The 20,196-nt window shown below is 38.9% G+C and overlaps 1 annotated feature.

Moving 5' to 3' along the window:
- Positions 288-865: an enhancer, noted in NCBI's record as "NANOG-H3K27ac-H3K4me1 hESC enhancer chr9:82115206-82115783 (GRCh37/hg19 assembly coordinates)". NCBI's record gives its function as "activates a minimal SCP1, AML or CMV promoter by ChIP-STARR-seq in primed H9 embryonic stem cells {active_cell/tissue: H9 hESC(primed)}" and the evidence as "EXISTENCE:reporter gene assay evidence [ECO:0000049][PMID:30033119]".

The following is a 20,196-nucleotide window of genomic DNA, read 5'->3' as shown; positions in this document are numbered from 1 at the left end:
AGGCCACTGTGGTATCATGCCCCTTACTTCTTCCAGTCTTAAATTCTTCAGTGGCTATGATACTGAGGGCTGGTTCTCCTCAAGTATAGGGAGGATCAAACAATAACTTCTAAGAACCACTAAAATGAGGAAAGACAGATACCCAGCTCTCTTTACATCCCAGGCCCATAGTAACATTCTCACAGTTTTTCTAAATACAGCTCCCCAAGCAACCAGTACAATTCACCTGGAGTTGGCATTCTAGATGAAACTCCTTTGTCATCCCTGTCTAGAGTAATGGGAGATGGTAGGAGCGGGAAGAGTAGAAGAAGTAATCAGGAATGTGAGGGGTTACTGAAACAGGGGCATTAGACCTGAGGCTAAGAGGGTAAAGTGCTTAGGAAACTCTGGCTATGAAGGAAGCAGACCTCAGAAATATGTCTGTAAAGGAGCATGTGACTCTTGGTATGAATTGCACTGTGAATGTACATTGTCTTTATATGTAATGGAGAAAAGCTATAAAAAATGTTAGGGGAGGTAATATATATTGACATGGTTACAGATAATGGTAAACTCATAAAGAAAAGTACACATTAGGAGGAGCCAAGATGGCCGAACAGGAACAGCTCCGGTCTACAGCTCCCAGCGTGAGGGACGCAGAAGATGGGTGATTTCTGCATTTCCATCCGAGGTACCCGGTTCATCTCATTAAAGAGTGCCAGACAGTGGGCGCAGGTCAGTGGGTGCGCACACCGTGCGCGAGCCGAAGCAGGGTGAGGCATTGCCTCACTCGGGAAGCCCAAGGGGTCAGGGAGTTCCCTTTCCTAGTCAAAGAAAGGGGTGACGGACGGCACCTGGAAAATCTGGTCACTCCCACCCGAATACTGTGCTTTTCTGACGGGCTTAAAAAACGGCGCACCACGAGATTATATCCCGCACCTGGCTCGGAGGGTCCTACGCCCACGGAGTCTCCTGATTGCTAGCACAGCAGTCTGAGATCAAACTGCAAGGCGGCAGCAAGGCTGGGGGAGGGGCGCCCGCCATTGCCCAGCCTTGATTAGGTAAACAAAGCAGCCTGGAAGCTCGAACTGGGTGGAGCCCACCACAGCTCAAGGAGGCCTGCCTGCCTCTGTAGGCTCCACCTCTGGGGGCAGGGCACAGACAAACAAAAAGACAGCAGTAACCTCTGCAGACTTAAATGTCCCTGTCTGACAGCTTTGAAGAGAGCAGTGGTTCTCCCGGTACGCAGCGGGAGATCTGAGAACGGGCAGACTGCCTCCTCAAGTGGGTCCCTGACCGCTGACCCCCGAGCAGCCTAACTGGGAGGCACCCCCCAGCAGGGGCACACTGACACCTCACACGGCAGGGTACTCCAACAGACCTGCAGCTGAGGGTCCTGTCTGTTAGAAGGAAAACTAACAAACAGAAAGGACATCCACACCAAAAACCCATCTGTACATCACCATCATCAAAGACCAAAAGTAGATAAAAACCACAAAGATGGGGAAAAAACAGAACAGAAAAACTGGAAACTCTAAAAAGCAGAGCGCCTCTCCTCCTCCAAAGGAACGCAGTTCCTCACCAGCAACGGAACAAAGCTGGATGGAGAACGACTTTGACGAGCTGAGAGAAGAAGGCTTCAGACGATCAAATTACTCTGAGCTATGGGAGGACATTCAAACCAAAGGCAAAGAAGTTGAAAACTTTGAAAAAAATTTAGAAGAATGTATAACTAGAATAACCAATACAGAGAAGTGCTTAAAGGAGCTGATGGAGCTGAAAACCAAGGCTCGAGAACTATGTGAAGAATGCAGAAGCCTCAGGAGCCGATGCTATCAGCTGGAAGAAAGGGTATCAGCAATGGAAGATGAAATGAATGAAATGAAGCGAGAAGGGAAGTTTAGAGAAAAAAGAATAAAAAGAAATGAGCAAAGCCTCCAAGAAATATGGGACTATGTGAAAAGACCAAATCCACGTCTGATTGGTGTACCTGAAAGTAACGGGGAGAATGGAACCAAGTTGGAAAACACTCTGCAGGATATTATCCAGGAGAACTTCCCCAATCTAGCAAGGCAGGCAAACATTCAGATTCAGGAAATACAGAGAATGCCACAAAGATACTCCTCGAGAAGAACAACTCCAAGACACATAATTGTCAGATTCACCAAAGTTGAAATGAAGGAAAAAATGTTAAGGGCAGCCAGAGAGAAAGGTCGGGTTACCCTCAAAGGGAAGCCCATCAGACTAACAGTGGATCTCTTGGCAGAAACCCTACAAGCCAGAAGAGAGTGGGGGCCAATGTTCAACATTCTTAAAGAAAAGAATTTTCAACCCAGAATTTCATATCCAGCCAAACTAAGCTTCATAAGTGAAGGAGAAATAAAATCCTTTACAGACAAGCAAATGCTGAGAGATTTTGTCACCACCAGGCCTGCCCTAAAAGAGCTCCTGAAGGAAGCACTAAACATGGAAAGGAACAACCAGTACCAGCCGCTGCAAAATCATGCCAAAATGTAAAGACCATCAAGACTAGGAAGAAACTGCATCAACTAACGAGCAAAATAACCAGCTAACATCATCATGACAGGATCAAATTCACACATAACAATATTAACTTTAAATGTAAATGGACTAAATGCTCCAATTAAAAGACACAGACTGGCAAATGGGATAAAGAGTCAAGACCCATCAGTGTGCTGTATTCAGGAAACCCATCTCACGTGCAGAGACACACATAGGCTCAAAATAAAAGGATGGAGGAAGATCTACCAAGCAAATGGAAAACAAAAAAAGGCAGGGGTTGCAATCCTAGTCTCTGATAAAACAGACTTTAAACCAACAAAGATCAAAAGAGACAAAGAAGGCCATTACATAATGGTAAAGGGATCAATTCAACAAGAAGAGCTAACTATCCTAAATATATATGCACCCAATACAGGAGCACCCAGATTCATAAAGCAAGTCCTGAGTGACCTACAAAGAGACTTAGACTCCCACACATTAATAATGGGAGACTTTAACACCCCACTGTCAACATTAGACAGATCAACGAGACAGAAAGTCAACAAGGATACCCAGGAAGTGAACTCAGCTCTGCACCAAGCAGACCTAATAGACATCTACAGAACTCTCCACCCCAAATCAACAGAATATACATTTTTTTCAGCACCACACCACACCTATTCCAAAATTGACCACATAGTTGGAAGTAAAGCTCTCCTCAGCAAATGTAAAAGAACAGAAATTATAACAAACTATCTCTCAGACCACAGTGCAATCAAACTAGAACTCAGGATTAAGAATCTCACTCAAAACCGCTCAACTACATGGAAACTGAACAACCTGCTCCTGAATGACTACTGGCTACATAACGAAATGAAGGCAGAAATAAAGATGTTCTTTGAAACCAATGAGAACAAAGACACAACATACCAGAATCTCTGGGACGCATTCAAAGCAGTGTGTAGAGGGAAATTTATAGCACTAAATTCCCACAAGAGAAAGCAGGAAAGATCCAAAATTGACACCCTAACATCACAATTACAAGAACTAGAAAAGCAAGAGCAAACACATTCAAAAGCTAGCAGAAGGCAAGAAATAACTAAAATCAGAGCAGAACTGAAGGAAATAGAGACACAAAAAACCCTTCAAAAAATTAATGAATCCAGGAGCTGGTTTTTTGAAAGGATCAACAAAATAGATAGACCGCTAGCAAGACTAATAAAGAAAAAAAGAGAGAAGAATCAAATAGATGCAATAAAAAATGATAAAGGGGATATCACCACCGATCCCACAGAAATACAAACTACCATCAGAGAATACTACAAACACCTCTATGCAAATAAACTAGAAAATCTAGAAGAAATGGATAAATTCCTCGACACATACACTCTCCCAAGACTAAACAAGGAAGAAGTTGAATCTCTGAATAGACCAATAACAGGATCTGAAATTGTGGCAATAATCAATAGCTTACCAACCAAAAAGAGTCCAGGACCAGATGGATTCACAGTCAAATTCTACCAGAGGTACAAGGAGGAACTGGTACCATTCCTTCTGAAACTATTCCAATCAATAGAAAAAGAGGGAATCCTCCCTAACTCATTTTATGAGGCCAGCATCATTCTGATACCAAAGCCTGGCAGAGACACAACAAAAAAAAAAAGAATTTTAGACCAATATCCTTGATGAACATTGATGCAAAAATCCTCAATAAAATACTGGCAAAACGAATCCAGCAGCACATCAAAAAGCTTATCCACCATGATCAAGTGGGCTTCATCCCTGGGATGCAAGGCTGGTTCAACATACGCAAATCAATAAATGTAATCCAGCATATAAACAGAGCCAAAGACAAAGACCACATGATTATGTCAATAGATGCAGAAAAGGCCTTTGACAAAATTCAACAACCCTTCATGCTAAAAACTCTCAATAAATTAGGTATTGATGGGACGTATTTCAAAATAATAAGAGCTATCTATGACAAACTCACAGCCAATATCATACTGAATGGGCAAAAACTGGAAGCATTCCCTGTGAAAACTGGCACAAGACAGGGATGCCCTCTCTCACCACTCCTAGTCAACATAGTGTTGGAAGTTCTGGCCAGGGCAATTAGGCAGGAGAAGGAAATAAAGGGTATTCAGTTTGGAAAAGAGGAAGTCAAATTGTCCCTGTTTGCAGACGACATGATTGTATATCTAGAAAACCCCATTGTCTCAGCCCAAAATCTCCTTAAGCTGATAAGCAACTTCAGCAAAGTCTCAGGATACAAAATCAATGTGCAAAAATCACAAGCATTCTTATACACCAACAGCAGACAAACAGAGAGCCAAATCATGAGTGAACTCCCATTCACAATTGCTTCAAAGAGAATAAAATACCTAGGAATCCAACTTACAAGGGATGTGAAGGACCTCTTCAAGGAGAACTACAAACCACTGCTCAATGAAATAAAAGAGGATACAAACAAATGGAAGAACATTCCATGCTCATGGGTAGGAAGAATCAATATCGTGAAAATGGCCATACTGCCCAAGGTAATTTACAGATTCAATGCCATCCCCATCAAGCTACCAATGCCTTTCTTCACAGAATTGGAAAAAACTACTTTAAAGTTCATATGGAACCAAAAAAGAGCCCACATCGCCAAGGCAATCCTAAGCCAAAGGAACAAAGCTGGAGGCATCACACTACCTGACTTCAAACTATACTACAAGGCTACAGTAACCAAAACAGCATGGTACTGGTACCAAAACAGAGATATAGATCAATGGAACAGAACAGAGCCCTCAGAAATAACGCCACATATCTACAACTATCTGATCTTTGACAAACCTGAGAAAAACAAGCAATGGGGAAAGGATTCCCTATTTAATAAATGGTGCTGGGAAAACTGGCTAGCCATATGTAGAAAGCTGAAACTGGATCCCTTCCTTACACCTTATACAAAAATCAATTCAAGGTGGATTAAAGACTTAAACATTAGACCTAAAACCATAAAAACCCTAGAAGAAAACCTAGGCAATACCATTCGGGACATAGGCATGGGCAAGGACTTCATGTCTAAAACACCAAAAGCAATGGCAACAAAAGACAAAATTGACAAATGGGATCTAATTAAACTAAAGAGCTTCTGTACAGCAAAAGAAACTACCATCAGAGTGAACAGGCAACCTACAGAATGGGAGAAAATTTTCGCAACCTACTCATCTGACAAAGGGCTAATATCCAGAATCTACAATGAACTCAAACAAATTTACAAGAAAAAAACAAACAACCCCTTCAAAAAGTGGGCAAAGGACATGAACAGACACTTCTCAAAAGAAGACATTTATGCAGCCAAAAAACACATTAAAAAAATGCTCATCATCACTGGCCATCAGAGAAATACAAATCAAAACCACAATGAGATACCATCTCACACCAGTTAGAATGGCAGTCATTAAAAAGTCAGGAAACAACAGATGCTGGAGAGGATGTGGAGAAATAGGAACACTTTTACACTGTTGGTGGGACTGTAAACTAGTTCAACCATTGTGGAAGACAGTGTGGCAATTCCTCAGGGATCTAGAGCTAGAAATACCATTTGACCCAGCCATCCCATTACTGGGTATATACCCAAAGGACTATAAATCATGCTGCTATAAAGACACATGCACACATATGTTTATTGTGGCACTATTCACAATAGCAAAGACTTGGAACCAACCCAAATGTCCAACAATGATAGACTGGATTAAGAAAATACGGCACATATACACCATTGAATACTATGCAGCCATAAAAAATGATGAGTTCATGTCCTTTGTAGGGACATGGATGAAATTGGAAATCATCATTCTCAGTAAACTATCACAAGAACAAAAAACCAAACACCGCATATTCTCACTCATATGTGGGAATTGAACAATAAGATCACATGGACACAGGAAGGGAAACATCACACTCTGGGGACTGTTGTGGGGTGGGGGGAGGGGGGAGGGATGGCATTGGGAGATATACCTAATGCTAGACGACGAGTTAGTGGGTGCAGCGCACCAGCATGGCACATGTATACATATGTAACTAACCTGCACAATGTGCACATGTACCCTAAAACTTAAATTATAATAATAAAAGAAAAAAAAACAAAAAAGAAAAACAACAAAAAAAAAAAGAAAAATACACACTATAAAATCTCGGCTTTCCTACATAAAATGAATAATAATTATATCCATGCAAATAAACTATTTACTGTCTTTGTCTTTTTACCATGCAGTGTGACAAATCATAAGCATATTATTAATGATGTAACAGATTGACTTTTGCTGTACATTTTATTTCATGACAACATCGAACTCACAATATATTATCTCAAAAATTAGACACAAAGGCAGTCATATTTCTCTTGATTTTTCTAGTAACAAAGATTTGCTTACCTTAATCACTAGGGTGTTGCCATCTTCTCAGAGTGCCTGGCTACCAGTTTACAAATTAGAAGAGACTATAACACATTCTTACATTTTTCTCCTAAAACAAAAGAACAGAAGATGAAACATCTAATTTTATGTAGTTGACAATCTAGCTCCCAATTGTTACTGATGAAATACCCATGCTATGAGTCTGTCTTTTCATTTTTAGTGAAATTTTTTTGAATACATTCAGATTTTTTTTTCTTAGCCATTTTGTAGTAGAATACTGATAACTTTTCTTCTTCTTTTTTTGGCTGATTCACTGTGACACAGAAAGGCTGAATCCAGTCTTTTCCATTCCACCGAGAATATAACAATAGTAGGAGGCATGAGCAAGGATCAGGCATTGCTCCCAGGAAGACTGCAGTTTTTCCCACAGGGAAAATAAAGTCAGACATGCTTCAATTCATGAACATTCATCTTTCTTATTCCATTTCTTCTTCTTTCTCTTTAATTCAGACACTCTTTTTTTTTTTTTTTTTTCTGGAAGATTTATTTATTTAGCTCTGCCTGCAAGCCTTAACATTTCAATTTGTCAAGTATTCTCAATGCCAAAAGAATTGCAAACATATGCCTGATAGAGAGCACCCTAATAAATAAGATATAGGCCTGGCCATCAGCATTTTTTTTGTCCTTTTATAAGAAAGAAGCATTAATTAATAATTCCATATTATGTGGTAAGATAGAGCTTGTGGGAATCCAAAAATTTCATCCTACCTCAGCTTGATTTCTAGCTCAATTTCCCATAAAAATTTCTTCTTCCATTGAAGCAGGTCCTGTCAGTGGCCTACCCAACAGCCATTGCTTGACTTCTTCCTTGCTAATGGAATCCTAATTTTGTTTGGCCCAATGTGATAAATGATGATTGGCGTAAGCCAACCATGAGAAATTTATTTTCCTTTGCAATGCAAAGATATGGTCACCTGGCCCAACTTTAGCAAAGGAGTAGTCTGTGGTGGGGCTTCTGGGAAAGCATTTGCTTCCTGAAAAAAAAGACTGATATAGGGGAAGAGCTTTTGGGTGAACAATCTTACCCTTCTTTTATGCTGGGGATGCTATTGTGAGGACATTGTGCTTGAAGCTGTGGCAGCAATCATTGGACAGTGCAGCATTAAGCATAAATATGGAAAGCCAAATGCTGAGAATGGAGGCACAAAAGGATGAAAAGAGTCTGGATCACTGAGGACATTGTTAAACTTCTGAATGGACTGTCAAATTTCTACATTCAGATTTCTTGTTAACCATAATATACATGCTCTTATCATCATAGCTGATGTTAATCAGCTTTCTTGGTTCCTTGCAGCCCTAAGCACTCCAAACTTATAATCTTCTTGCTAATGAACTTTAGTGACATTGTATTGCCTATCAAATGTTACCCAAATGAGTCAACAACGTATCATTTTTCATTGCCCTATAGCAGGAATCTTGAACTATGTCCATGTGGGCCCAATCTGACTCACTGCCTGTTTATGGAGGCCCTGTGAGTTAAAGATAGTTTTTACATTTTTAAATGAAATAAAAATCAAAAGAAGTATAATGTTTTATGATACATGAAAAAAGATATGAAATCTAAATGTCAGTGTCCATAAATAAAGTTTTATTGGAATCTAGCCTTGCTCATTTATTTACATACTGTCTATGGCTGCTTTCATGCAGAGTTGAGTGTTTGAGACAGAACATATGGGCTGTAAAGCCTGAAATATTTACCCTCTGGCCCTTTACAGAAAAAGTTTACCAACCCCAGCTCTACCACATGAATTCCCATTCAAGTCGGTATAATGTCAACTGTATTTTAGGTATGACATTCTGTCTTAGTTTTGTGTTGCTAAAACAGAATACATGAGACTAGGTAACGTATAAGAAAAAGAGGTTTATTTAGCTCACAGTTCTGCAGACTGGGAAGATCAAAGGGCATGGCAATAGCATCTGCTTACCTTCTGGTGAAGACCTCATGCTGCTTCCACTCATGGCAGAAAGCCAAGGGGGAGTAGACAAGTGCAAAGAGATCATATGGTGAGGGAGGAAGCAAGAGAGAGAAACTGAGGAAGCCAGATTCTTTTTAACAACCAATCCATTCCAGTGAGAACAAGAATTCATTCACCCCAGTGGAGGGCATTAGTCAATTCATTAGGGATCTACCTCCTGGCTCAAACACTTCCCACTAGGCCCCATCCCCGAATGCTGCCACCTTAAAGATCAAATTTCAGTATGAGTTTTGGCAGGGTCAAACTACATCCAAACTATAACACAATCTCTCTTTCCTGGATGCTCTTGACCCTGTGGCTTCCTTCACTCTAATTATCCTTTCTGTATTCTCCCTGAAACATCCATACTTGTTCCTTTCTAAATTGGGTGTATAAAACATTTTCACAAATACTAGTTTATTTGATTCTTACAAAAAATTCTGTGAGAAGGAAGAGCAGAGATGATTATTATCATTTTTTTACAGGGAGGAAATGAATGGTAGGATGAAGCCCAAGGACTTGGGATCTATTATAGCTTGATCTCAGTCAAATGTTCTAAACTCTACCAGTAGCTATGTGACTTTGGATAAGTCACTTAGTTTTTCTTAGCCTTAGGCATTGTTCTGTCAAATGTGGATATAATACTCAACACAACCTGCCTTAAACCATAATATGGCTGGCACAAGTTTTCAGAAGTAGAAAGAGCTAAGGTTAGAGTTGAAATCTAGTTGATAATCTCAATCTATGTGCAAATTTACAGTTGGGTCTGAGAAACATAGCATTAGGAAGATAAACACCTGTTCAAAGATAAATAGGAAAATATCTTGGAATCTCCATTTCTTAGACTGGAACGGGTAAAGCAGTTAGGAAGCTTCTTATTTGCTTGGGAAAAAAGTGTCTTAAGAAAACAAGAGCAAGAGAGAGAAGAGAGAATACAGTGTTGGCTTTTAATGAAAATATATATGCCTCAGATAAATCAATCAGTGGTCTTTCATTAGCGGGTTTCAAAATGGAATGCATGCAAGACCCTGCAAAGCTTTCAACATTCCTTCTTATGGGTTATTTTCGTTCAAATATAGCAAAATAAAAGAGCTGACTTTCTCACTGAACTCCTTGGTCCCGAAGCCTCCTTTTTTCTTGCCCAAACTACTTCTCTGTCAGCTGCTGGCTCTCTTCTAACTCCCACAGCATATTTTGAAATTGCATATTTCAATCACCTATATGTGCTAACTGAAGCTGAGTAATGAGTGTCTGGAAGGTTTGCACAAGGTTATTAAAAGTTTCTTAATCTGCCACCAACTTCTTTTTTAATATTGTTTGTAGATTTCCTAAAGCACAGGAATAAATTCCCTTGACCCTCTTACTCATTAACTTGGAGAGTATGGCAGAAAATCAAAGGTACAAGCCTGTTAGGGTGTTTGTTCCCTTTTAATAACCTGAGGACTGCAGCCCTGAGAAGATAAGGATATCACCGCTGTTGATCAAAAGACAAGAAAAGGCAACTACAGGAACAGATACATCATTATGCCACTAGTAGTTTTAAAACTATTGCCTCTCAATTCATTTTAAAAATAGTATATTTTAATTAGGGAACATTTTAATAAAAATAATATAGAGAAAATGGCAGTTTTCAAATGTCTTAATACAAGGGACTTTGTATTGACTATCTAATAGGGGGTGACAAGGGACTAATCTTGAAGCAGTGTGCATGCAGTAGTACAAAGTCTTTACGTAGATGTTTCTATTATATGAAGAAAAGAGGAAGAAGTGAATTTTAAGGCACAAGAATAGAATTTGTTTCTAGATTCTACTACCTGTGTGCTGTGAGTAGTTGGACAAGTCATTTAATTTGAGATTCAACTTTCTCATTTGTAAATGGAAAAAATAACACCATAAGAAAAAGCAGTATACATTTGTTTTGAATGCCTAATGTGCTTTAAAATATTTCATCCTTTCAATAAGGTTTTGAACAGTTATCCCCATTTTATAGATGAAGAAAATGAAACTTAAGGTTTAGCTATTGTGTCCAGGGTTATATGGCCAATAAATGTTAGTGTTCAAAAGGAAACTCCCAAGCCTGTAAAACAGGACTTCGGTGAGAGTGGGGAGAAATAATTTAAAGTGTACTTTTCCAAATCGAAATTGCCAAGCTGTAGACCCTTTTTACGAAGCACCCTCCAGAGGCTTTTGCCTGCAAGGCTAAAAGAAAAGGTGGTTTTAAATGTATCTTCTAAACACATTCATATTTTGGGGATTGAGGGGAGGAAGGTCTGTGTGTTCTTTAAATGTGTGAGTAATAAAGAATAAATAGAACATGTCCTTTTGGTTTGTTTGGTTTTCAAATCATCCCAGCACAATTTGCAGTAAAAACTGCTTTCATTTTTAAGTGATCAAAGCAGTCCATGATCCAATCAGGTCAACAACTGCAACAAGCCAGAACAATGCAAACATGCCTAAGCTCCCTGTTTACTAAAGATGTCCACAGAAGATAATAATGTGCACTTCTCAGGATACTTAAAGAAAAATAAATACATACAGAGGAAACCGGTTTGAAGATGACTCCAAGGCAGGCCAGTACCTAAAACGTGCAATTGGCATGTAATGTCTTCGTTGTTTTAATCGTAATTGGGAGGAGTAGTTGAAATGAATTTTATCTTTTTTTCCTCCCCTCCTCTGGAATTTCTCTTCCTTTCCCCCAAAGGGCAGTTTACAGTTGAGGAACCTAATTTTCTCTGAGTCATAGAGGCCTTTTGTGGTCCTTGGAGGAAACTCCTGCATATTCACAAAATGTTCTGGCTGCTCACGTGTCCATTGGGTGTCAGCAGGACAGCAGGACCCAGCCAAGTGGATAAGCAGGCCACCAAGAGCTCAGCTCTAAGCATTCTGTTTCTTAGTCACACCAAAGCTGGTGGTTGCTGCCCCAGAACCAGGATAATGGCTGCAGTGTGCACGCTTGCCAAGTCCAAACAATGCTGCCCTGTGAAGAACAAAATAAAAATTAACTTTCGGGAGGGTGTATTATTCAGAGTTTTTAATCAAACTCTTTTCAACCTGTTGTATTTTTGTATTATCCGATGTCCCTTTCAGAAACATTTTATTTCACAGAGGCCCTATAATGGCAGAAGGTTAAGATATAAAAAGGCATTAGCAATTGCTTAGAGCCGATGGATGTGAAGGGCCAGTAGAATGCCTAGCCCATAGTAGGCCCTCAGTCAATGGCTACCATTGTCATTACACTCTACTACAGCCTCTTCTATTTGCCATGGGGAAACTGAACCTCAGAGAGGTAAGCGATCGATGAAGGTTAGACCAATAATTACAAGAACCATCTGGGTTGGCATCTTTTACATGGGCGTCACATCTCCTGATACATATTTTTACCTGTATTCACAGGTAAACATTTTAAACATTGTTCCCTGTAGATGCCATAAAGGAATCACTTTATGACTGAATGTCCTGGGAAAGATGAGTAAGGATCCCTGCCATTGATTTCCATCAGACTGCTGTGAAACCTTGCAAAGGAACTCACTAGTGAGTACTCTTGAGAAGTAAAAGAGAACAATGATTAAGGCCACAGGGTCTGGAGTCTGATCTAATTTTCAGGACTGACACCATCTTCTAACTTCATAACCTCTGGTAAGTTGTCAAACCTCTCTCTGTTTCAGATTCCTCCTCTATAAAGTAGAGAATTTAGACTGCATTAGAGGGTTGGTGGGAGAAGTACTTGCGACAATATAGAGTGCACAGAGCATAAGAGGAGAAAGCAGTAAAATGCTAATTAGCGGTATGGGCTTTTAAAATTGGTTTTGTTGTTATTTTAGTCATTATTGTAGAATAGCATTTGGTGGGTGTTTCCAAGAGTCTGATCAGGTACGATGCCAAGATCACATCTTTGTATGCTGTTTCACCCATGACCCTGTTTGTGGCATCGTCTTACCCATGGCTGCCAGAATATTCACTGACAAATAGAAAATGTTTTCAAATGCAACCAAAGCATCTGAACAAGTGAAATCAAGAGGGGAAATGAAGAGTATATAATTTGGGAAGACAATGAGCACTGTATAAATATCTAGAATTGGAGGAATTATTTTATTTAGGGGCAGATTGAGATGGTGAGTCTACAGTTGGTGTCCCTATTACTCAAGACTCTATCTGATGTAATTTTTTTTAAAGGGTGATGGTAGTGAAATTCATTGGTTCATGTGACTGAGAAATCCGAGATTTTGCCATGATTGAATCTCAGCCATGATACCATTAGAATCTGAACTCTTTCTCTTCATCTCTTGGTTTGTAAAACATTCTGAATGTTGATTTCTATTTCATGCATCCTGTTTATGGCAGCTCGGGCTATCATACTCATAGCCCAAGTCCAGCAGAAATAAAAAGTGTCCCTCTCCAGTTTTTTTCTCGCAAAATTCTAGTATTGGTTTGGTTCTGATCTGGGCTTCGGTCCACTGCTGATCTATTCATGGAGGCCCGGAAGAGTCAAGACTGTCATGAGCTGTTTCTCTATCTCATGCTTACCCATGAAGCCAGGTATGGAGTTGGCTCACATAGACCAAGAGTATAAGAACATGGTTCCCTAAGGAAAATGTAGGTTTCATTGTGAAAAGATGTATTCTGGAGAGAAAGACTATGTTCACTTTAAGTTGGGGACAGGTACACTAGTAGGCATGTCCCAAAAGGGTACCATGTGTATATATTTTGTTTTTATTCATTGTCATTCTTACATTTTTAAATTAATTAGCTCTTCAGTTTCCCTGCCTCTGTAGGACCTCAATCTTCCTAACTATCAGACCTTCAGCATTCACTGCTGTGACCATTTTAGCTGTTCATTAACAGAGCTGGTGTGAAGAAGGAAGAGGCTTAGGTAGTCAGTACAGCCAGCTGACCATTAGGCATTTGTATCTCATGTTATCATTATTAGATATAATTTGGGAGCTTGAGGAAGCCCCCCAAATAGTCACCTTTCCTGCCTACATCCAGAATGAACTGAGAGAGAGAGATGCAGGACTTAAGCAAAGAGAGATTAAAAATGTCCTTTTTAAACTTTTTAAACTAATAGGGCATAGGGAGCCCAGATGTATGAGCTTGCTATCACTCCTCTGAATTGAACTTACACCCTCAAACTGCAGGTCCTCCCTGTAAACTTACCCCATGGAATACGGCAAACAGATGCTATGTGATGCAGGCAGGCAAATGTCAAAGAGAAAAAGAAAGAACAAGAGACTGGTATAAAAGTCCTTAATACTACTAAGCTTAATTTTATTCTAGTTCTCTAGGTCAGGATTTTTAATACTCAGCAGTATTGACATTTGAGGTCAGATTATTCTTTGTTGTGGGGGCTGCCCTGTGTATTGCAAGATGTATAGGAGCATCCCTGGCCTCTACTCATTAGATGCTGTCCCCCAGTGCTGACAACTGTTTCCAGACATTGCTAAGGCAAAATCTCCCCTGATTGAGAACCACTGTCATACAGTAAAAGGGAGAGGCCAAAAGTGTGTTATTCTGTTGGAGTTTTCCACATAGAAGGTAACATCAGGGGTGAGAATAGCATACAGTAACTTTCATGAAATGAGTAAAAAACCCCAAACAAACCCACTTTATTTCTTTGAGGAAAATTAATTGTCCTCCCTAAAAGGCCAACTCTTGGTTCTGATATGAATGTGAAGAAATGTAAGAAAACATTCAGGAAATATTTCTGGAGTACATGCCAGCAATCTTATAGTTCTCAGGGCTGTATTGGAAAGGAAGGTGGGAAGAAGGAAGAAAGGAAGGAAAGAAAGGACAAAAGATGAAAAGAAAAGAAAAGAGAGAAGGAAAGAAAGAAGAAAGGAAGGAAAGAGGGAAGGAAAGAAAGAGGGAGGGAGGGAAGGAAGGAAGAGGGAGGAGGAAAGGAAGGAGACAAAGGAAGGAAGGAAGATGGAAGGAAGGAAGAAAGAAAGAAAGAAAGAGAAAGAAAAGGAAAAATATAGAAATAATGGGCTCTTTGCAATTTGTATGAGGTATCCAAAATATTCAAATGTACAGAAGCAGAAAATAGAATGGTAGTTGCCAGCTGACAAGAGCAAAGGAAATGAGGAGTGGTTGTTCAATGTAACTTTATCTTACAGTTACACAAGATGAAGTTCTGGAGATCCGCTGTACAAAATAGTGCCTATAATTGACAATATGGTGTTGTGCACTTAAGACTTTTTTGAGGATCGATCTTGTATTACGTGTTTTCACCTCTCCTCCCATCCCCACACAGAAGGAAACTTTTGGTGGTGATGGATATGTTTATTACCTTGGTTGTGTTGATATGATCATATGTATTTGCATATATTCAAACTCATCAAATTACATACATTAAAAACATGCAGTTTTTTATGTCAATTATACCTTAATAGAGCTGTAAAAAATAAAGAATGAGCTGGGTGTGGTGGCTCATGCGTGTAATCCCAGCACTTTGGGAGGCCGAGGCAGGTGGATCATGATGTCAGGAGTTCAAGACCAGCCTGGCCAACATAGTGAAACCCTGTCTCTACTAAAAATACAAATAATTATCTGGGCATGGTGGTGTGCGCCTGTAATTCCAGCTACTCAGGAGGCTGAGGCAGGAGAATCACTTGAACCCAGGAGGCAGAAGTTGCAGTGAGCCAAGATCGGGCCATTGCATTCCAGGCCAGGAGACAGTGCGAGACTCCATCTCAAAAAAATAAAAATAAAAAAAAATAAGTCAAAAGAATAATGGGCTCTTGGACAGTAACTATGAGTTTTGGGAAAATAAATGAGCATAATATCTATTTGGCAGTGACTTAAGTAAATAATATAGATAAGACCATCATAAACTTGATGTGGAAACAAGGAAATTAGATCCATGAAACTGTTCAGAAAAATTTGCTGGTCACTGCCAAAATCATTACTTGAGCAAGATCTAAACTTCAAAGTTTAAAATAATACTGTAGTTAAATTGTTACAACGTTGTGCCCAAGAAATGTATGCCTCTCAATAGGAATGCTTATACTATTATTTCTGAAGTCACAAATTTGGGGATTCCAAAGGTCTGTACCCCTTATGAATGTTAAGTGTCTACTATAATTACATAAAATTATCACTGTGCTTTCATTAATTTATTATTTAGGTCTGCTGCACTGCTTTCATTTCTCCCTCACCTTTATTTATGTTGCTTTTTAATCAGGGTTCAAAGTATTTCACAAGGTCATGTTGATTAAAACCTAATAAAAAAAAAGTCTAGGATAAAAGAAATACTATGTAGTCCCCGTTGTCAATAATATGTATATTTTAAATCAGCAAATTACTCTGAAGTCTGCTGCTTCTGGCAACTTCTAAAGAATCTGGAAACCTCGGTAAGGGGAAGACTTGTTCTTCCAGGAAAAACATCGGTGTTATCTTCAGGCCTTTTCTCTTTAATCCACAAACCCCTAATGCTCCATTCCATTCTCTGCCCCACTGTTTAGGATGAGTACTGTGGAGTTGGTAAAAATAATAATATGTTATATTTTCAGTGAGATATTAACTTTTCGAAGTGCTTTTATATCTCTTTGAGCTTCTAGGCACCCAAGAAGGGGCTTATCATCATTATTTTCTTTATGAAGTAATGGAATCCCAGAGAGGTCTAAGATTTGCCAGAGAGGTCATATAGGTAGCAAGGGGCGGGTAGTTCCCAAGGCCCACTGCTCCCATCATGCCTTGAATAAGCGTTTTCAAATGTCTCAACAATGAATATGGCTGACCATAGTCAGCCATATTGAAGTTCCATGGTGAGCCTGGATCATCTGTGGTTTTAAGCATTGGCTAAGTGCTCCATGGTGAGGAGGTAATGGGTGAAAGGGGCGCTATCTTAAGATAACTGATCAAAAGGAAACATTTCGTGGGTATGCATTCATGAATGTAATCATTCCTTTATGCAGTAAACATTTACTGAGCATACACCATGTGTCAGCTCCTTTCTAGGTATCTCAAAAACACACTACCACAATCTTCAGCCTCTTTATGATTTGTAAAAACTAATCTTAGCCTATAATCTGAGTATACAATAGTCAGATGTATGTAGTTTACTTTTAAACTCATAAAGTCCATAAATCTTACAGGGCGTATACATCTGGAGACCAGCAGTGTGTGTGCCTAGTATAGTGTGGAAATACATTGCTGATCGTACCTTGGTTTGTTTCTCATTCATACTCAAATCCAAGAGCAGTAGTGATTGTCCATAATACCGTATTCACTTTTGGAAATGATATTTGCCAGAAGGATGTTGAAGGAAGGAAGCAAATTTGGTGATATGCATCAAAGACCTTACTTAATATTTGGAAATGATATTTGCCAGAAGGATGTTGAAGGAAGGAAGCAAATTTGGTGATATGTATCAAAGACTTTAATAATATACAAACATTTTCACTTTTTTTTAACTTCTGAGAAATGATTCCCAGAATATAATTCTAAATAGAAAAGTCTTTTTGTATATGATGTTAAATTCTTTATTATTTATTATAGTGAAAAATTTCTTATAACCTAGCTATTAAACAATAGGAAATGGTCATATCATTGTTTTCCAAAGTGTGCTGTGGTGAGCACTATGTTGTATAATGTCATGGTGAAAATGGTTCCATGTTTAATTAAGTTTGAGAAAAGAACACACTAAGAAAGCTTCTCTCCTGGAGCTTCACAGTACATAATAGTATAGAGGAGTTGTTATAAAGTAACATCATTAACTTTTTCCAGGTAGGTGTATTCCAATCTTTTGGACTCCGGTTTTGGAAGTAATGTATATTAATATTTTTTGGATTTAGTGCCCGGTTACTTAAATTATAATCCACTCAGAAATAATATGCAGTCATTAAATTTTATTCTTGAAACATATAATGACATAAGAATGATCCAAATATAATCTTATGGAGAATGGGTAAAACAGAAAATTTGTATATATATATATATATTTGAATAATTGCAGTTATGTAAAAATGCGAGGTAAAAAGAGAAGGAACAAAAAGGTGAAAGGCCAACATCAACAGTTGTATGGTCATCATGGGTTATGTTATGAACACATTTTGTTCTCATTTTCTCTATTTTCCAAATTTTTAGTAACATAATTTTATTATTTTATTTTACTTTTGTCTCAGGAATAAAAGAAAAAAATAAAACTGTAATAAATACCTTGGGGCTGGGCACAGTGGCTCATGCTTGCAATCACAGTGCTTTGGGAGGCCAAGGCAGGAGGATCACTTGAGACCAGGAGTTTGAGACCACCATAGGCAACGTAGCAAGAGTTTGTCTCTACCAAATAAATAAATAAATAAAATAAAATAAAATAAAATAAATTATCAGGGTGTGATGGCATGCACCTGTTGTCCTGGTTACTCTGGAGATGAGGCAGGAAGATCGCTTTAGCTTGGGAGTTTGAGGCTGCAGTGAACTATGATTGAGCCACTGCACTCCAACCTTAGCTATAGAGCAGACTCTGTATCTAATACAATTTTGTGATGTCAATACATTTCAATATGTGTGGATAATAAACAAATCAGTAGACTAAAAACTTAAATACCCATATAGGTAGGATACATTGATTTTCCTTATTCCTGATTGAAGATTAGCTGATTTTAACATACGAAATTTAGGAATTATGTATACATAAAGCATAGTCGACAGGCTATAAACAGAGCTGAGTAGTGTTTTATTCTCTCCCATCTAAGGGGCTATGCTCTTCAGTGTTTACTTAATTTTCTTTTCTCTTTACTCTGCCTCCTTCTCATCTTTATCCATCTCTTCTTCCCACTTCTTTCCAAATCAACAAGCATGTGGTACCAAATGCCCACACTGTGGTATTCGATTAGGATCCACTTGACTGTACTTATCCAGTTCCTTGGAAATGTGCAGCCTTTGTTTTAACTTTCCACATGCTTAGTACTTATAATAGAAAGAGACAGGAACCAAGATGTTTGCTTTTTCTAGTGAGAGAAAATAAAACAAGAAGACAATCCAAAGGAAGCCATAGTGAGATCATCAGTAGATAAACATTTCACAAGAGAAATGATAACCACTATTATGAGAAGCAAATGCAGCTTCTTTTTTCTTGGCCATAGAACTTTAAAACAGTCTCTGAAAACATCCCGTTATCCCTCAGCTAGCAGACACACATCTTCCAATATTTGACAAATACCATCTTGAATCTTTCTTAGTGCAGGTGGTGCTAACTATGTCATGCTGTTACTCTCTTCTCAGTTAAAGTCACATTTCTTTTTCAAATTCCTTCTGCACAGGAGAAGAAAACCTTAGCAGATGGATTAGGGTAAAGGAAATGGTACATAATGAATCACATTTGAAACCCCAGCATGCAGATCAATATGTAAGTATATATAGTCCTCCTCCTCGTCGTCTGCGTTCAGTGAATTTGAGTGTTTCAGAGACTCAAGAGGCCAGACTCTTGCTTTGTGCTGAGAAAGCTTCTCTCTGCAGCTGTGCCTCTCTTCAGAATGACTTTTTTCCCTGCTGCCATTATGCCAGGAATGCACAAGAACCTCCCAGCTTAAGTCTTCTGAGCGCTTATAGATAGCAAGGCCAGAATTCTCATCTTCTGGAACTCTAGGGAAAATTTCCAGTGAAGCATTATTTCCCCCTTTTCATAGATACGACAGTGGATGAATTAAAGTGACTTGGCCAAAGTCACAGAACATGTCAGCTGAAAGCTAAACTCCAAAATGGAAATTGCTCATTCAACTAAATTGAATTACACCAAAGCATACTGTTAAGTTTGTTTTCTCCTAAAGGTTTACAGCACACAATCACTGCTTTTTTTCCCCCCAGCAACCTCAAGGAAACAAGCTATAAACGTTCCTTTATAAAATAGCATGGAAGGTCAAATCTTCAGGCATCTCTGCCCCTATGTTCCTAGCTTCCTGTTATGTGGCTAGAATTTTGGAATCCTGGATCTAACACCAGACAAGATTGTCACTACCAAACCAATTTGAGGTCTAACCGTGCATTTTAGTGTTCATAGGACAAAGGTGGGAACAGCTGCTTAATGGGTCAATTTGTAGAATCCCACAGCTTTTAAAGTCAGTTAGTGGACTAGAATTTTCATGCACCTACTGTTTGCACAATACTTTATTCTTAGTCCAACTGAGGAGGAAATGTATACATGTATAAGGAAAAACGCCTGCTGTAGTGCATTTTTAGTAAGAGAGAATAAAAACAAAAAATCAACAATTGACAAAATTTGTGATTAGCTGAATTCAGTTCTTTTGTTTTTAGGTTTTACAGTTCAATGAATTCTATTACCCTCTGTACTTGCTTTTGCT

Source organism: Homo sapiens, chromosome 9, assembly GCF_000001405.40.
Source record: "Homo sapiens chromosome 9, GRCh38.p14 Primary Assembly".
Classification (NCBI taxonomy): domain Eukaryota; kingdom Metazoa; phylum Chordata; class Mammalia; order Primates; family Hominidae; genus Homo; species Homo sapiens.
Note: the sequence above shows the minus strand (reverse complement) of the source record. Positions and strands in the feature narration are given on the sequence as shown.